Consider the following 17820-nt stretch of genomic DNA (forward strand, 5'->3'; position numbering starts at 1 on the left):
TATCCTGGCCATAGGTGTGGGCACATGATCTAGACCCAGCTACTCCTAATAATCCAATCACATGGTCCTAGTGCTTAGTCTACAGATACTCAGGTGGCCCCACCAGAAACAATCAGGTTTCTTCCCCAGAATTTTTTATTTAGAGATAGAGAAAAAGAGGTAGTATTATTTTTGGTGATACAGCTGGAAATGGGCTATTGGCAAACATCTTCCCCACTATGTGGAGAAAGCGTATCTTTAGAAGGAGAAAATGTGGCCACAACAACACAGAGATGTGTAGAGTTTAGAGAGCCCGTGACAGCAAGAGGGAGAGAATGAACTACCGTCTTGACAATCTCACTTAAGCTTCTGAATGCAATTGTGAACGGACTTCCACTTACGTGAGCCATACATTTCCCCTTCTTTCTCAAACTGGTATCATTGGATTTCTATCTACTGCACATAAGAGTCTTGGTTAATTAAGAAATTGGACAAACACCCAATAATGTAAAGGCTATTTGTTTGGAATTAAGGAAATGATTTGTCAAGGGAAACCAGGGAAAAGCTTCATGTATTTGTATTAAGCTAATAAGATTTTTCAAGCACTTGGAAATTTCATGGTGTGCTAATGCTGTTGTCAATTACATTTCTGTAACTGTTTTCTGTTTTTAGAGACCATATAAGAATCACTAACATGAGCTGCATACGCTGGAGGCCCCTCTGCTGTCATTATTTTATGTGCTGGAAAACGCTGCGATGGGAAGACAGCCCAGTCAGATGGGGATGGCCTGGAATAGGAGCCAGGTATCTGTGTCATGGACTAGTAATACAAGTCTCTTGGCCTCTCTGGGCTTCAGTTTCTTCACCTGTTCAACCAAAGGCATGAACCGAAAGCCTTCTCAGGTCCCTTTCACCTCGACTGCTCTATGTCAGTATGATCTTTTAAATCAACTCCCTGATTTTACCTATAAGGCCCAGGGGCTCCCCTGGTCACAGAGCCAGGACACAGTTTAGAACCTAGACCTCCTGACTCAGATTGTCCTCTAGGGCAGACCAACTTCCTTGCCAATTATAGAAGAGGAGCAGGGTTCTATTACACTGTTAGCACTTACTTTCTTTGATTCCAGAGCATCCTATTTCACTCCATTTTTCCAAGAATGAAGAACGAGAGCCAGGTCCCAAACCCAGTCCCCAGTGGGCCACTTAACTTCCCTCTCTTCATGACTCAGGAGTTAGTCCTGTGACTGGCTGCAGTCTTGCACATGCATGCACTTGGCACAGAAGGGCCAGGAGAGAGTGTAAATGCATCCTGGAGGTCTACTGGGGCGTAATGGAAAAAAGCCATTTGGTGTTCACATGCCATGGCAGTGGACCTCTGAGTGTATCATCGTCTGAGTGGGAAGTGTGCAGCCAAGAGGCTTGGCCAGACACCAAAGAGGTGTCCTGCCACCTCCCTATCACCACTGTCACACCAACAAGAACAGTGTAGTGAGAAATCCACTGAGCCTGGGCCATGTCTCACCACGGTCATGTCTAGGGAAAGAGTCATAGGTGCTCCCAGGCGGTTAAACATAAAAGGGCGGCATTTAATTCTCAAATGTGTTTGAAAAATTATTTGTTTGCTAGATTTGATAATGCAGACAGAGACTTTGCTACTCTAAATTCCTTGTGTGTCTCCAGGCAGACTGTGATGTACTAAGGAGATTTCCTTCTATGAGAATCACTCACTCAGGGTTATCCTGCAATTTCATGAGGAAATCCCTTTTAAAAGGCATACTTTAGCTGACAAATGTATCCTGAAGAAATGCTGAACTAGATTATCCCACTAGATCAGAGCTTTCCAAACATTTTTGAACATGACCCACAGTCAGAAACACGTTTCACCCCATGACCTGATACAAACACATCTATATGTAAAAAACTGACACAAAGCACTCAGGACACAAAACCAACTCCTACTTTGTGTAATATATCCTGACAGTTGCACTCTGTTCTGCCCTCTTCTGTCTGATTCTGTTTCCATTTTTTTATGTTTCATTTTTTAGAGACAGGTCTTGCTCTGTCACCAGGCTGAAGTGCAGTAATCATAGCTCACTGCAGCCTCTGAACTCCCAGCCTGAAGCATCCTCCCACCTCAGTCTCCCAACTATCTGGGACTACAGGCATGCACCACCATAACCAGCTAATTTTTATTTTATTTTATTATTTTTTGTAGAGACAGAGCTTTGCTCTGTTGCCCACACTCATCTCAAACTTCTGGCTTTAAGCTATCCTCCCACTTTGGCTTCCCACAGTGCTAGGATTACAGGGATGAGCCACCATGCCCAATCTGTTTCCATTTTTTAAAATAGTGGCTGGGACTTTGCTTCCTCTGTGTGAAAGGCTGCTTACCTGTCCTGGGGAAGGATAGGAACAAATTACATGAAGCACACTGACCATTCCTTCACCCTTCAGGCAGCTAACTATGGAGGCAAGACACTGAAGTAATGAAAATACAAACAGCAACATATGTCAGCCACCTAGAAGGTGTTGCTGGACAATCAGGATGTCACTTTGGGCCAAGCCAGCGCTGGCTCGTTCATTCATTCATTTCCTCTATGTGATTTGGAGCCCTTGAGAAGTAGATGCCAAGGTGGGTTCAACTTTCAAGGATTTTCTTAGGAGAAATGCCCATGCCAGAGAAAACAAGGCAGGAGCTAGGCAAGGCTTGGAGAGTACCAGAGTCAAATGGTAATGCAAGTCCACCCAAGTAGAGAGAGGGAAGGGAGACTAGACTGCTGCGTGCCCTAGACTGCTGTGTCACCTAAAGAAGGTTTGGCAAGGCTGTTAGGGAGCCCTTGAGCCGAAGTTGCCATCCAAGAAGTCCCATGTCTCCCAGAAACAGGACTGCCTCAGTATCCCTGCTGTGCTGGGTCATTGGTTGGGAGCAGCAGCACCAGGCAAGCTCCACGCCAGTGTGGAGCTGGGCCTCTCAGCACAGCAGCAGGGCCCTTGACCACCTGTGCTCCCTGTGCTAGGCATGCTGCTGGGTGCGTGCTCATGGCAGCCACACCCTCCTCCTTCTCTTCTTCCCTCTCTTGCTCCTTCCTTCAATTAACACTAAGTGAGTCTCTAGCCTAAGCCAGCTGTTGGAGCAGAGAATGGAGAGACAGTGGTGAGCCAAACCCACCCCCTGCCTCCAGGAATCTGCAACCTTGTGGGGACACAAATGTGAAGGAAAAAATTCCACCAGAGGATGAAGAGTGGTCAGTGTGAGAAATGTTTCCAAGTGAAGGGCCTCTCGACAGTATGAAGTTAAAATAGCGGGGATAGGGGCTCAGAAAAGTTCCTGAGCCAATGATGTGGACCTAAGGTCTGAAGGATGAATAAAAGTTTACTGGGTGAAGAGGGGAGGGAAGAGTGTTCCTGGCAGAGGGACCAGCATGTGTCCAGGTGATTTCTTGGGATGACAGGAATAAGGGGCTGAAACAGCTGGGGTAGATTGAGTGAAGCTGGGGAAGTGAGGTGCTGGGAGCGGGCGAGGGAGTGGATAGGGCCTGCAGGATCGGGGAGGCTTCTTGTCACCCACCAGCGGTTTTAATGGAGGTCGACATGATCAGATTTGCATTTTATAAAGGCCACTCTGCCTGTGGTGTAGAGGATGGCTGGGGGAAAGAGTAGGACCAGGGATACTAGTTGTCCAGGTACGGAGGTAATTAACAATGCAGTTGTTCCTGGGAGAGTGTTGAGGGCTTGGACCGGGGTAGAGCTGGTGGAAAGGGAAAAAAATGGCAAACTGGGAGAGACTGAAGAGGCTGCATGGATAGAACCTGGGGATGAAACAAATGGGGTGGGAGGTGACAGGGATGCCTCCACATCTACGACTCACACCAGCCCAAAGCCTCCGTGAAGAACCAGATGTGGGCAGTGAGTGCAGAGACAGATGCACTGCCCCACTATGTCCCCTTGTCTTGGGGACAAGAGCGCCTGTGCTGTCACCCCCGGTATCCTTTCACGTGTCCTCTCTCTGCCAACCCCAGGATCTCTTGGCATACATTTACCTCAGCCGCACTCTTCAGTGCTCTGCATCCAGGCTACGCGGAGGCTGCATGTTACAGGAGCCGTGCATCCCTGAAGACTTGGAATAAGTCAAGATTTACATAATCCCAGAGACATCCTTCCAAAGCGTGATAGTAACTCTGTTCCATGGCTGGAGTGGCTCCTCCAGGTGCCAGCAGCATAAACCCACCTTTCAATCAGTCTGCAGCTCAGAAATACTACCTGATTCTAGACAGGCTTTTCAACGTAATAGGTTGAATTATTATGTCTTGTACATAAATTAAGACTTTACATTTTTATACTGCTATTTATAATGTATATAATGCAAATCCATGTAAACTATGGTTACTTTGGGTTTCTGCTTTCCTGAAGCCTCTACCATCTGCAGACAGCCTCTGATACCTAACAGAGCCAGATGCTTGTACTCATATTTGTCCAAAGTCTTGGACTCCCACCCCAAGCCCTAGCCTGGCCCCTCTCAACTTAGCAAAAATCCGTGAAGAGACCTTAAAGAGGAAGCCAGAGCTCACTGGGCAGGAACAGTCTCAGAAGGCTATTTGGCGGTGCTAGAAATAGAACAGAGCTTTGAAGGATGGGCTAGGCCAGAGGAGACAGAGAAGGGAGAGAGGCTATGGGGGTCAGCCCAGCATGCTTTGGGGCCACTGATTAGGCAGTCTCAGCTATGAGCACAAAGGGTTGGAGTAAATTTTTAGGGAAAATAATATTTCTGCATTCCCCGTGTCTAGGGATGTTTCCTTCAGACATCTGTTTTGGCTTCATTAGAAGGGACAGAGATGCTGTTTTCTATATTTTTGCATTGCCAGAGCTCAGCACAGTGACATATGGTAGAAATGCAATAAAAGTTCATTGAATGATTGAGTGAGTGGGTGAGTGAAAGCATTGCACAGGTTCACAAGATATTTGTCCTACTTAAGTGCTGATTTGTTTTCCAACATTTTATTATGAAAAATTTCAAACCCACTGAAAAATTAAAATCGTGGAGTGATCACACATACATTCTCCACCTAAATTCTAAATTTTACAGCTTATTGTGCAGGCTTTATCACGTATCTAGCCATCAGTTCAACCATCTATCTATCCATCCATTGTATTTTTTTATGCATTGCAAAGTTGCAGACATAAATATGCTTTACCTCTACTCATTTTAGCATGCACATCCTTAACTAGAGTCCAATATTTGTTGGCATTTCTGTTTTTCCTTGTTAAAATTTAAAAAATTTAATTATGGCCAAACAGACATAATATCAAACTTACCATCCTAACCATTTTCAAGTGTACAGTTCAGTAGCATTAAAAACATTCGCATTGCTGTGCAAACATCACCACCATCCATAGCTATAACTCTTTCATCTTGCAAAACTGAAGCTCCGTATTCATTAAACAATAACTCCCTCATTCCCCTCTCTTCCTAGCCCCTGGAAACAACCATTTTACTTTTTGTCTCTGAATTTGACTACTCTACATACTTCATATAAATGGAATAATACAGTATTTGTCCTTTTGTGACTGGCTTATTTCACTTTGTATGCGCTCCAGGTTCATTCATGTTGCAGCATGTGTCAGAATTCCCTTCCTTTTTAAGGCTAAATAATATTCCAGTATGTATATATTACACTTCGTTTATCCATTCATCTGTCATTGGACACAGGGTTGCTTCCACCTTTCGGCTATTGTGAATAATGCTTCTATGAACATGGGTGTACAAGTATCTGTTGAAATCTCTGTTTTTAATTTTTGGGGTATATACTCAGAAGTGGAATTGCTGGATGATATGATAATTCTATTTCTATTTTTTTGAGGAACTTCCATACTGTTTTCCATAGTGAATGCACAATTTTACATTACCACCAGTAATGCACGAGTTTAAATTTTTACACATCTTCCCAACATATGTTTTTTTTTTCATACTAGCCATCCTAATGGATGTGAAGTGGTGTCTTAGTACATTTTTGTGTTATTAGAAAGAGATATCTGAGGCTGTGTTCCATGGTGAGCAGGTCTATGCAAACCTACCCCCAAAGGCCAAGGAAGATGAAAGACCAAAGAAAGAAGCTGACAAATCCAATTTCTTAGAAAAAAAATATTTAACAGAGATTTATGAACAGAAGCATGTTTTGGGCAGCCATAAGACAAGATGGTGGATCCCCGCACTGTTATCCCCCAGGCCCAGGGCTTATATACCATAAGGAATTTGCCTAAGGACAGGGTTTATGGTAAATATGTGAAAATAGATATCTTAGAGGTATTCCCAGAACTGGGGTTAATAAGAAGTCATGGCAGATTAGCATCCGAGATGGAGTTGCTTTAGCCTTCACAGACTGGGTAATTTATAAAGAAAAGAGGTTTATTGGTTCATGGTTATGAAGGCTGCACAAGAAATATGGTACCAGCATCTGCTTCTGGCGAGAGCTTCAGGCTGCTTCCATTTGTGGCAGAAGATGGAGACAGCCTGTGTGTACAGAGATCACACGGCCAGAGAGGAGGAAAGAGGGACCGGGGGAGGTGCCAGCCTTTTTTGAACAACAGCTCTCATGGGAACTAATAGAGTGAGAACTCACTCATCCCCGTGCCTAGGGAATTAATCTATTTATGAGGAATCTGCCCCCCCCGACCCAAACACCTCTCATTAAGCCCTACCACACACTGAGGGTTAAATTTCAACACAACATTTGGGGAGGTCAAATTTCAACATGAGATTTGGAGGGGTCAAATTTCAACATGAGATTTGGAGGGGTCACATTTCAACATGAGATTTGGAGGGGTCACATTTCAACATGAGATTTGGAGGGGTCAAATTTCAACATGAGATTTGGAGGGGTCACATTTCAACATGAGATTTGGAGGAGTGAAATTTCAACATGAGATTTGGAGGAGTGAAATTTCAGCATGAGATTTGGAAGGGTCAAACAAGCCCAACTATAGCAGGTGGTATCTCATTGTGGTGTTGATGTGCATTTCCCTAATGATTACTGATGTTGAGCACCTTCTTATGTGCCTTTTGGCCACTTGTGTGTCTTCTTTGGAGAAATGTCTACTCAAAGTCCTCTGCCTCTTTTTGCCTTTTGAGGTAAAATTTACATATGATAAAGTGCACAAATCTTAAGTGTGCCATAAGATGAGTTCTGACAAATGCATCTCAAACTCTGTCGAGGTACAGAACATTATCATCACCCCAGACAGTTCCTTCAGATTCCTTCTCAGTAATCCACTCCCTCCACCCTCCAGACACAACCACTATCCTGGTTCTTAAAAGTCTGTCATAGATTCGTTTTGCCTGTTATAGAACTTTATGTGGATTTATACAGTATGTGCTCTTTCGCGTCTGGCTTCTTTCACTCGGCATAATGGTTTTGAGATTCACCCATGTTCATTCCTTTTGATCGCTGAGCAGTATTCTTTTCCATGAATAGGCCAGAGTTTCTTTATTCTTTTGTTGATGGACTGGACTGTTTCCAGTTTGGGGATATAATGAATAAAGCTTTTTAAGAGCTTATGTTTTATTATAACAAAAGCAAAATGTCATGAGCTTGAAGCCTTGATAAAAATCTCCCACCAAGCCTAATATCCTTTTGGATAGAAAAATAAACAAATCAATAAGTTCTGCCCTTTGTAGAGGGCTTATAATGTGCCAGGCCGTCTGCTGAGCGTTTTCCTTCCATCAATCATTCCATTTAATCCTCACAGCCCCATCTGCTAGATGAGTAAATAAAGGTTTACAGCAGGAAACTGACTTGCCCAAACTCTAATAGCCTGTGTGTGGCAGACCCTATTTTGCCTTTTGGGAAGTGCTGTGAGCATCAGTAGTTATCCCAAGGCCAAGAAAAGATGAGTATGGTGTTTTGCTTTCTCAGTTATCACACTTTATTACAATACTGATGTCATTTTTATTTGCCCTCTGTGATGAGCATTAATTATATTACGGGAAAGGGGAGAAAGCCAAGTATTGCAACTTTAGAAGTAAAGACCACTCCCTTACTAAGAAATCTTTGGAGACAGCAAGGAATTTTAAAAAAGTAATGGTACATGGGCCCGGTGCGGTGGCTCACGCCTGTAATCCCAGCACTTTGGGAGGCTGAGGTGGGCGGATCACTAGTCCAGGAGTTCGAGACCAGCCTGGCCAATATGGTGAAACCCCGTCTCTACAAAAAACACACAAAAAATTAGCCGGGCGTGGTGGCGTGTGCCTGTAGTCCCAGCTACTCGGGAGGCTGAGGCAGGAGAATTGCTCGAACCCAGGAGACAGAAGTTGCAGTGAGCTGAGATCGTTCCACTGACTCCAGCTGGGGCAAGAGAGCAAGACTCCGTCTCAAAAAAAAAAAAAAAAAATTAATGCTACATGAAAAAATTTCTATTACAAAATATTAGAAAATAATAAGAGCACCAAAAGATAAGTGCCTGATCAGCTTGCTATCCATATGTAAATGTAGATATGACCAAATTGGAAAGTTTTGGCAGAAAACTTGCAGAGGAAGGAAAGAAAGATTTATGACTAGTGTTTATCTACTGTCCGCGAAGTGCCAGGAAAGCCCCCTGCTGGGTAACTTACATATGTTTAACTCATTCCAGCTTCCCTGCAGCCTCAGCAGCCCTTCTCCCCTTGTTTTTTAGGAATGGAACTCCTGGCTTTTAGCTAAACTTGTGGTCTCCCAGAAAAAACATTTCTCGCAGCTTCCCTGATGGCTAGATTTGGCACGTGACTGAATTTGACCAATGGGATGTCAACTGAAGGGTCGCGTACAACTTCCAGGAAGGGCGTGACCTTAAAGGGGCTTGTGCCTTTCTTTGCCCCTTCCGCCTTCCGGATGGATGAAAGCAGAAGCAGTGGCTGGAGCTAGAGCAGCTATTTAGGACTATGAGATGGAAGAAATGTGGTGACAATAGCAGAACAAAAATATAGAAATCTTGGGTACTTGATGACCACGGAGCCGCCATACAAACTCTGGACTATAATTTCCAGAGACTGTTTATGTGAGAGAGAAATATACTTCTCCTGTTAGGCTACTGTTAACTCTGTGTTTTCTGTCAGTTCTGATATAGGAGGCATTGTCATCCCATTTTACAGACGAAGAGACGGAGTCTCAAGTTTCCATAGCTGGTGTGCACTTTAGTTCCTCAAGGACAATAATGCCCCACCCTTGAGGTTGGTTGATTCACTCAACTCCCAAAGTTGATAATGTTGAGGTGCCAAAAAAAGTGTCCCCTTCAGGTTTCACTCACTGGAGCTATGTCATGTGCCCACAGATACGGAAACATGCCACTAAAAGTTAGCCCTGGAGGGCCTTTAAGTCAGCTTTCAAAGAACAACAGATCTGGTTTTGTGACTCTGGGAAAATTACCATCCAAGCCTCAGTTTCTTCTTCTCTAAAATGGGAAGGATAGTAAAAGTACCTGCGACAGAGTTGTTGGGAGGACCGAGCAAGAGGCTGCACAGTGCCTGGCCCTGACCAAATGAACAAGTGGGAGTTTTTATTATTAGTCCCTGGGCTGGGCTGGAATCAGACCCCCTGGTTATTTCTTTTTCCATATCTTCCTTTCTGCCATTTTGGAGCTTCCCCCCTCCAGCCTCCGTCCCCAGACAAGATTAAACAAATGTCTCTTTTCTCCTTGCAGACTGTGCTCCCCAGGGCGCCCTCAGCTCTGTCCACACAAGTCCCTCCTATGATCAGCTGCACCCTAGGCTCAGCTGGAAAACAAAACATGCACTGCATGGTTGCCACATCCTAGCCATGGGCCTCAGTTTTCAAGCTCCAGGCAGTTTTAGCAAGAAAACTGATGTTCCTAAAATCAGGACTGCATTTCTTACATTTCCACTGCTGATTCTCAAAAAATGTTGGCACAAACAAACCCAAACCACGAGGCAGCAAAATTAGTCTTCAAAGCCCTCCTGTAAGTTAAACGCCCTCTCAAAGGTACCTGCAGAATCCACATTCAGGTCCCTGTGGGGCCGTCCTCTGTGGGTCTGCTTTGAGCTTTGAGCAGAGGAGGTTCCAGCACAACGCATCTGTCTGGGTGTGATTCTCCAGCCTCTGTTGTCTGTCAAATGAATCCTTCCTATATGATAATGAATACTGCACAGATTAATGCAGTGGATCCCCACCCATAGACCAGGAGGCTCTTTTGGGGAGACAGAGAGGTTTTGCGAGATGATCTTCAAACCCATCGATAAGCTTATTGTCCATGGACCAATCTCTTCTGTGTCTCCCACAGGGTTCTACCACTATATTTCAAATGTATATATTTTATATATATATATATATATATATATATATAGTCATTGTGATGAATAAATATAAATATCTATTTATATTATATATTTATATTATATATATTTATATTATATATTTATATATATATTTATATTATATATATTTTTATATATTTATATTATATATATTTTTATATATTTATATTATATATATTTTTATATATTTATATTATATATATTTTATATATTTATATTATATATTTTTATATATTTATATTATATATATTTTTATATATTTATATTATATATATTTTTATATATTTATATTATATATATTTTTATATATTTATATTATATATATTTATATATATATTTATATTATATATATTTATATATATTTATATTATATATATTTATATATATTTATATTATATGTATTTATATTATATATATTTATGTATATTTATATTATATATATTTATATAATATATATATTTATATTATATATTTATATTCATATATTTTTATTATATATTTATATTAAAATATATATTAAAAATAAATATATATAGTCATTGTGATGAATAAAATACTTCATTAAAAATAATTATGTAAGATTAGATAATCAATAGACACTAAATACACACCTACTATCCGCTAGGGTTAACCAACTCCTAGCTTAATGCCATTCAACAAGAACTTCCTAGAAATAGTCCCATAGCTAGTGACCCTCATGGTGGAGCTTCAGACAACAAAAACAAGTCAGGGAATGAATACTTGGAGGCCACCAGAGCATTTGGCCACCTTCAAACCACACTGAGATGGAAGCTTGGCTTGTGTGCAGTCCAGCTGAGAACTGGGCTAAGAACTGAGAAACAGCAACCCAAACCCTTGTGCCCAGAGAGCACAGCATGACCACCTCCTCCACTTCCCTAGTGTGGGAAGGAGTGTCGGGACCCACGTGCGTCAAGCACCCAGTGCCCAGCAATCACAACCACAGGCAGCAGGGAGATGAGGCAGAAGGGGTGAGGGATGTAGCAGTGGGAATGTGTGTGGGCAGGAAAGCTACTCACCCTCTCGTTTCAGCTACAGTTATCTAACTGCAAGCAACAGAAATCCACTCTGGGCAACCTAAGCCAGAAAGGAAGATAAATTGAAGAACCAGAACTCAGAAAGGGAAGAAGGGGGATTGTGGTAGAAGATACTTTGAGGGAGAGATGAATCTCTTCCAAACATTTTCTATCTGCCTGTTACTTAATCAATATTGGGTTCTTTGGGAAGAGGGTACGACTGGCCAGGGGAGAGCAGGATACCATCAGTGGTGGCTTCCTGGCATCTGTTCACCAACATGGGGGAAGAAAGCACATCCCTCAAAGAAAGCCAGGATGCTGGCACCAGAAAAAGGGGGAAGGATGCTGAGCATGGAGCAGACAGAGACGTCTCTTCTCTCTCTGGGACTGCATCTTTTCATCTGTAAAATGGGAACAACTGTGGCTACATTGTGAAAATGTAATGAGATAACACAGAGCACAGTGTGGCTTATGGGAAGTGCCTAATATGTAATAATTTTAAATAATTTTAGCTAAATAATTTTAGCTTACCATCTTAATTTTTGATTCAGGTCTATCTGAACTTTTTCTCCAGAGAATGAAGATACTGTCATTACCTCTGCAAAGAATGCATCCTAGCACAGATCAAAGATCTTCCAAGTCCAGCCACACCATTTTACAGTTCTGAACCTCGACTTAGGAAAGCAGTGGATCTTTATACATTTGACACATCCCTTCCCTCTAGGGTAAGAAAAAATAAGCCTAGTTTTGCATAAGTCCTTTTCTGTAGGCTGGGGCTCTGAAGGAAGCGAACCCCATGGCCAATCCATCTGAAGTCAAGGTTAATAGGGCTATTATACTAAAGATGTGGTATTAAAGATCTCCCTCTGGCACCGTGTTCTTTATGATGCATGGCCAATTGCCCACTGAGGAAGATATTGCAACCGGAGCAATTTTATTCCAAAAGCATATCATTTTGTTTTTATTCCCACTGACAAGCACATACGTCTTTAAAAAAAAAAAAGTGACTATTGGTCAAAGTTACATTTTTCCCACACATTTTTCAACTTTTGGGATTGTATATTCCAGGCTGGATATGGGCACTAACCAGGCGCTTCCTGATGGATGGGCTTGGCTGTTTTCTCCATGGTTTCTTGGCTCAAATTTTTGCCAACTTACATATTTTTGCTTAGTTTTGACATCTTCTTTCCATCAAACCAGATGTTTCTGTTTCTTTGCAATGTCAGTTTTTCCCCATCAAAAGCATGAAATTTGACCAATTATTTACTGATAGTTATTGAAAGATGAAGTTATTGAAAGATGGCAAGTTACAAGTTTCAAAATCCATCTCTGGTTCATTCGTTTGAAATAATTGACTATATGATATGGTAGATATCAATTATATGATAAACCTTTCAGGGGTTTTTTAAATGTTAAAAATAAAGTGATAATGCTGGCCTTAGCATATTAATGATTTTGGTTTTCCTCCTAAGAACAATGGAAAGATATTAATCTTTGGCAGAGGATAAAGTGGCCAGATTTGTGTTTTAACAGATCTCTGTGGCTATTGAAAATGGACTGGAGAAGATGAGTGGGAGTGAGAAGAGGATAACAGAATCAGATAAAAACCTGTCATGTTACTAAGAGCAGGAGATGAGGCAGCCTGGACCAAGATGGTGGCAGAGAGAAGAAAATTGCTTGAGAGAATTGATTAAACTACTTGGTTAGCACAGATAGAGCTGAATCAAAAATTAGGATGGTAAGCTAAGTAATTTTACACACAAAAAGGCAGAGTTGCATTCATAATTAGTCTCTCCTTCAGACTGAATATTACAGACAAAATATAGCCATTGGTGTTGCAATCACTTCCTTTGGGTTTGTATCCAAGGTTAAGAATGTCAGCATCCAAAGACCCAAATTCTTAATGTTTTTAGTTGATAAAGTTTATTCAAGGTAGACAGCCTGTGTTGAATAACTTAGTCTTCCACAAATTTCAAGAAAAATCCATTGTCCCTCTTCTCCGCCACAGACACACTTTAGTTGAACATTAAGCATATTTATTAAAGAAACATTCTCCTTGTGCTTTTTCTCCCAAGATGGATGGTGTTCTTACTTAGAGTTATAAGTGTCAGAATAAAAATGCCCATGAGGTTGAATTGTATGATGTTATAGTAAAGTGAGATAAACATTCTCAGAAACATGATTGTGACTTAAAAAAAAAAAAAACCAACAAACCACTTTCTGTAGAGGAATTATGCTTTGGGGACAGAAACTTTCCTTTATAATTTTTACAGCTGCACGCAGATAAAGTGTATTAAAAAGGCACAACACATCAATTATGAAAACATGGCTACCCTTTAAGAGAACACAGACTTTTTCCAGATCCATCTTAAATCTCAGGAATTCTAGATCGAGACAGGCATGAATGCTCCTGTTGCTGAAATCACTCTGATTTCCTTCTTGTTAAACACTTCACTCAGCAACATTATAGATTAGCACCAAAAAAGTTGTTTGTAGGTGAAAAACTGTTCAGAAAAGGACACCTTATTAGGCAGGCTGTCGATTTACAAATAAAAGCCGATTCTGGCTCTCCTGAATGAAAAGAAGAGTAATTTCTGGGGCTTATTAACTTGATTTTAGACTGGGGGGGGGTCCCAGAACCAGGGAGGTCCTGAAAAGGGCCATGTCACAGTAACTACTCGATCCAAGCTTCTCCTCAGTCTGAGATGTACCATGGCCACTGCTTGCCCCATGTCTACAGGATTCAGAGTCTTCAGGGAAAGTTGGGCACAAACGGTAGAGTCCTCTTCCCTGGCTGTGTTCCCACCTCCCAAAGCCCCACATAATGGAAAATCCCTCAAGAGGAGGCAGTCACAGAGGGAAGTAGAGGCCAGGCAGCCTGCGAATGATCAATGTGGTACAGGGCTCCTGTCCCCTCTATGGCCACCTCTCAAGTTGTTCTTTCCTAGGTTCTTTATTAAATGTGATAGATTTATCCAAAACAGTTATGAATTCAGATCCTACCAATCTGATATTACAAGAGCTCACATAGGGGAAGGAATGGAGTTTAACAGTAATGTTGACAAAGAAAAATAAAGTTTTTAATAAAAGGTATCAACAAAATGGTAGATTGTTTAACTACTTAATTAACTGTTTGGGGACCCTGATGAATTTAATGATAGTCAAACCACCTAAGTAGGTGAGCTACTGAGGCTGAAATTTTAGCTTTCTCTCTCTGTCTCTCTCTTTTTTTTTTTTTTTTTTTTACAGACAGGGTCTGGCTCTGTCATCCAGGCTGGAGTACAGTGGCATGATCATGGCTCACTGCAGTCTCCAAATCTTGGGCTCCAGTAATCCTCTGGTCTCAGCCTCTCCAACAGTCGGGACTACGGGTGCATGCCACCATGCCCGGCAAATTTTTTTAATTTTTAATTTTTGCAGAGACAGGGGCTCACTATGTTGCCCTGGCTGGTCTCAAACTTCTAGCCTCAAGTTATCTTTCCACCACAGCCTCGCAAAGTACTGCGATTACAGGCATAAGCCACTGTGCCTGGCCTTTCTTTATTTGTCAAAATTTAGCCTCTAAGTGGTAGCCCTTAAAATGTATTTCTGAACTGCTTGTGAACAATTAAGTTTGATTTTTTTAAAAAAAGGAAGAAGAAACCCGATTATTCAGACCTTGCACTAATTCAGGCTTTCTTTCCTACCAACAAGCACCTTTTAAGATGGTCCCCTGAGTCATTAGCATCTTCATCAATCTTTCAACAAGAAAGACTACTCACACAACATTTTTCAAAATATTTTCATGGTTATTATCTTATCCAGTTTCTAGCACTACAAGGTATACAAGATGGAAATGTTATTTCCATTTTACAGACCAGGATCCTGACACCAACATCATGGTAATTTACCCCAAGTAAGCTCCAAGTACCCAGTGTTCTTTTCTTATACTTCCCATGGGCCCTTGTTGCTATGTTTTTCTTTCTTTCATAACCCACCCCTTATTACTGCTCCAGAAGCAAATCCAAAATCTATAACAATGAAAGAAATCAATGCCAAGCCTATTCACCAACAAGTGCTTACTGAGCACTGCTGTATGGTTTAGGAAGAGGCTAATCTGCTGTAACAAAGAGACCCTAAGTACTGTGGCTCAAACAAATTAGAAGTTTGTTTCTTTCACCCAGTAGTCCAGACCCAACAGTCCAGAGGTCTTGGGAAGTTCGGGGAGGTCAATACAGGGACCCAGGTTTGTTTTAGCTTGTTTTTCCTGCTCTACCATCTTCTAAAGCAGAGATTCCCAAGTTTTTTCAGTTCACAGCTCCCCTAGTATCTCAGTAATTTTTTTCATAGCAACTACAGGTCAAAAGAAATACCCAGAAAATTTGCTTATGAATTAGTCAGGTCCAAATAATTTAATAATTATTTATGTCCTGAAAACATAGTTGCCACTTCGGGAAAAAATAACACAGACAGACTGAAATAAAAATACATTTACTTTACTTTTAAATGATCATAATTTCTTAATAATGGGAGGTGTGTGCCTGTTGGGCACTGAACAATTACTCAAACCTTGGACTCAAATTGGATACTGCCATTGTCATTTTCTATTTCACATTGACTTTTCACAATGTGTTATTTTTTTTTTTATCATAGCAACCATCTGAAACTCAGATACTAGGCAAAACCATCAAAACTAGTGGTTTTGCACAGTATCTGACAGGTGTTAACGAGTTTCCTTCAAAAATCTAAATTATCTTGCAGCATTCCTATGTGTTCACTGAGGCTCCTCAGAGAGCCTCAGCATGTAGCTTGAGAAGCATGGTGGTACAAGTCGCCATGCTATGTCTAGATATGGATCTGCTGGAGGAGTAATGCCTTCTCACCTCCCTGGCAGCCACTTCCTCTGTCCTTCCCAGGTTCCTGTGTCATGTCAGGAGGACCGAGGGCTGATGATTTGACCAGCAATTTCCCGGCTATCGTTCCTCAGCCAGGAGGAACCAAGCTTCCCCATCCAGTTTGCCTTACTCCAGTGAGAAGCCTGAAGCAAAACCCAACCCATTTAAAAAGTAAAAGCGATAATTTGTAGGCTCCTGCATACATTCTGAAATTACCTACATTCCTCTCATCCTGTGCTCATGGGCATATAACATAGACAAGACTGAAATCTTGTCTGAATTGTGAGGAAAGATCAAGTTTCCCCAGCTCCCAAGCCTGTTCCATCTGAATACCGGAATCTATGTGTAAGTCTTAAATAGCAGAGTGTGGAGGAGAATCCATTCAAATTAGAGTCAAATGTTATGGAGACACCCCAGCCTCCTCCTGGGGAAGCAGATCTGAACCATCACGCATCTCAAGAACTGCTTGGTGGCGAGGTAGTGTCGAGGCAATTCAGTGTGGTGAGTGCCACACGCAGCCTCCACACAAATGGGTGAGAAGCCTAATTGTCTTTGACTAGGACTGAATTTGGTTCCGCTTCAAACCCTTATTCTACTGGATGGTAGAAATGAAATCTCAGGCCATTTAGGCTTTCCCATGATGTTACACAGAACAATATGAAATTGCTGCTATTTGATCTTTTCTAAACTATAAAAACAGCAACTACATATGGCCCAGATGATAATGTATCTCCATCACTCCCAGGGTTTGTGACAGTCATGATCCCAGGGGCCACCTGGTTTCCATCGCCACCCACTGTTGTGCCTCTGAGATGTCCTTGCTGTCCTGTGCTCTCCACCATTGGTCCACGAAGACCTCCTCTGCCCTAGCCCCATCAGCAAGGGCTCCCTGACTGCAGTGAATCCTCTCAGCGATTCCCACATCCCCCTGGGGGGCTGCTGTGAAAGATCTGTGGCAGGAATGAGGCACAGTCCCCTTTCTCAGTGACATTTACCAACAGCCAAATTGTCGTGGTCCCTACGTCTCTCTTCTCTCGCGCTCTCTGGAGTGAGAAGAACCAGCTCTTGCAACTTCATTTACCCTTCCAAGTCAATTGCTTCTGGCATCAACTTAGTACCTGAACTCCTTTAAGGCTCAGGGTTTTAAGCTCCTGCATCTCAAAAGCTTTTGTGTGGGAACAGAAAACATGAGTTTCTCTTCCTATGCCTCAGCATCCCTTCTTTTAGAGAGCGGATACCTCCCAGCATAGTTCCAATGGGAGAAAGCCCTTGGGGTGAAAATAATGAGGAAATCGGGACCCGCACATCACCTTGCTGTGCGGTGGGTGCCTGGCTTATCTTATGCCTGGGTCTTGTCACCCAGGACATAGGTGGAGAGTCCTGACCTCACATTTCCAAGCTGTGCAACCCTGGGCAAGCCTCTGACCTCTCTCCAAACATCAGTTTCCTCAGGCCCTCACAGTAAGGAAACATACTGCCAGCAGGCCCACGGCTCATCCTGTGTGGTTAAATACAGTCAAGCAGAGAGAGAAAAATCTTCCAGATTCAATGAAAATGTAATGATCTCCTGTTGCATTAGGAATAGCAAGACTGGATGGCTTTGTAAAAGCTTAGAGATATTATTTTTGAAGCT

The 17820-nt window shown here is 42.0% G+C and overlaps 1 long non-coding RNA gene across 1 annotated transcript, besides 1 other annotated feature; it reads left to right on the forward strand.

Moving 5' to 3' along the window:
* Positions 8175-8370: a silencer, noted in NCBI's record as "fragment chr3:16577170-16577365 (GRCh37/hg19 assembly coordinates)". NCBI's record gives its function as "represses an EF-1alpha promoter that drives an FKBP-Casp9 reporter gene in an ReSE screen in K562 erythroleukemia cells {active_cell/tissue: K562}" and the evidence as "EXISTENCE:reporter gene assay evidence [ECO:0000049][PMID:32094911]".
* On the forward strand, positions 8830-13885 carry LINC00690 (long intergenic non-protein coding RNA 690). The gene is made up of 3 exons (NR_103843.1): positions 8830-9006; positions 11888-12038; positions 12847-13885. It is a non-coding gene; the product is annotated as a long intergenic non-protein coding RNA 690 (long non-coding RNA).
* Positions 13886-17820: the final 3935 nt, after the last annotated feature.

This window comes from Homo sapiens, chromosome 3 (genome assembly GCF_000001405.40).
Source record: "Homo sapiens chromosome 3, GRCh38.p14 Primary Assembly".
NCBI classification, from domain to species: Eukaryota; Metazoa; Chordata; class Mammalia; order Primates; family Hominidae; genus Homo; species Homo sapiens.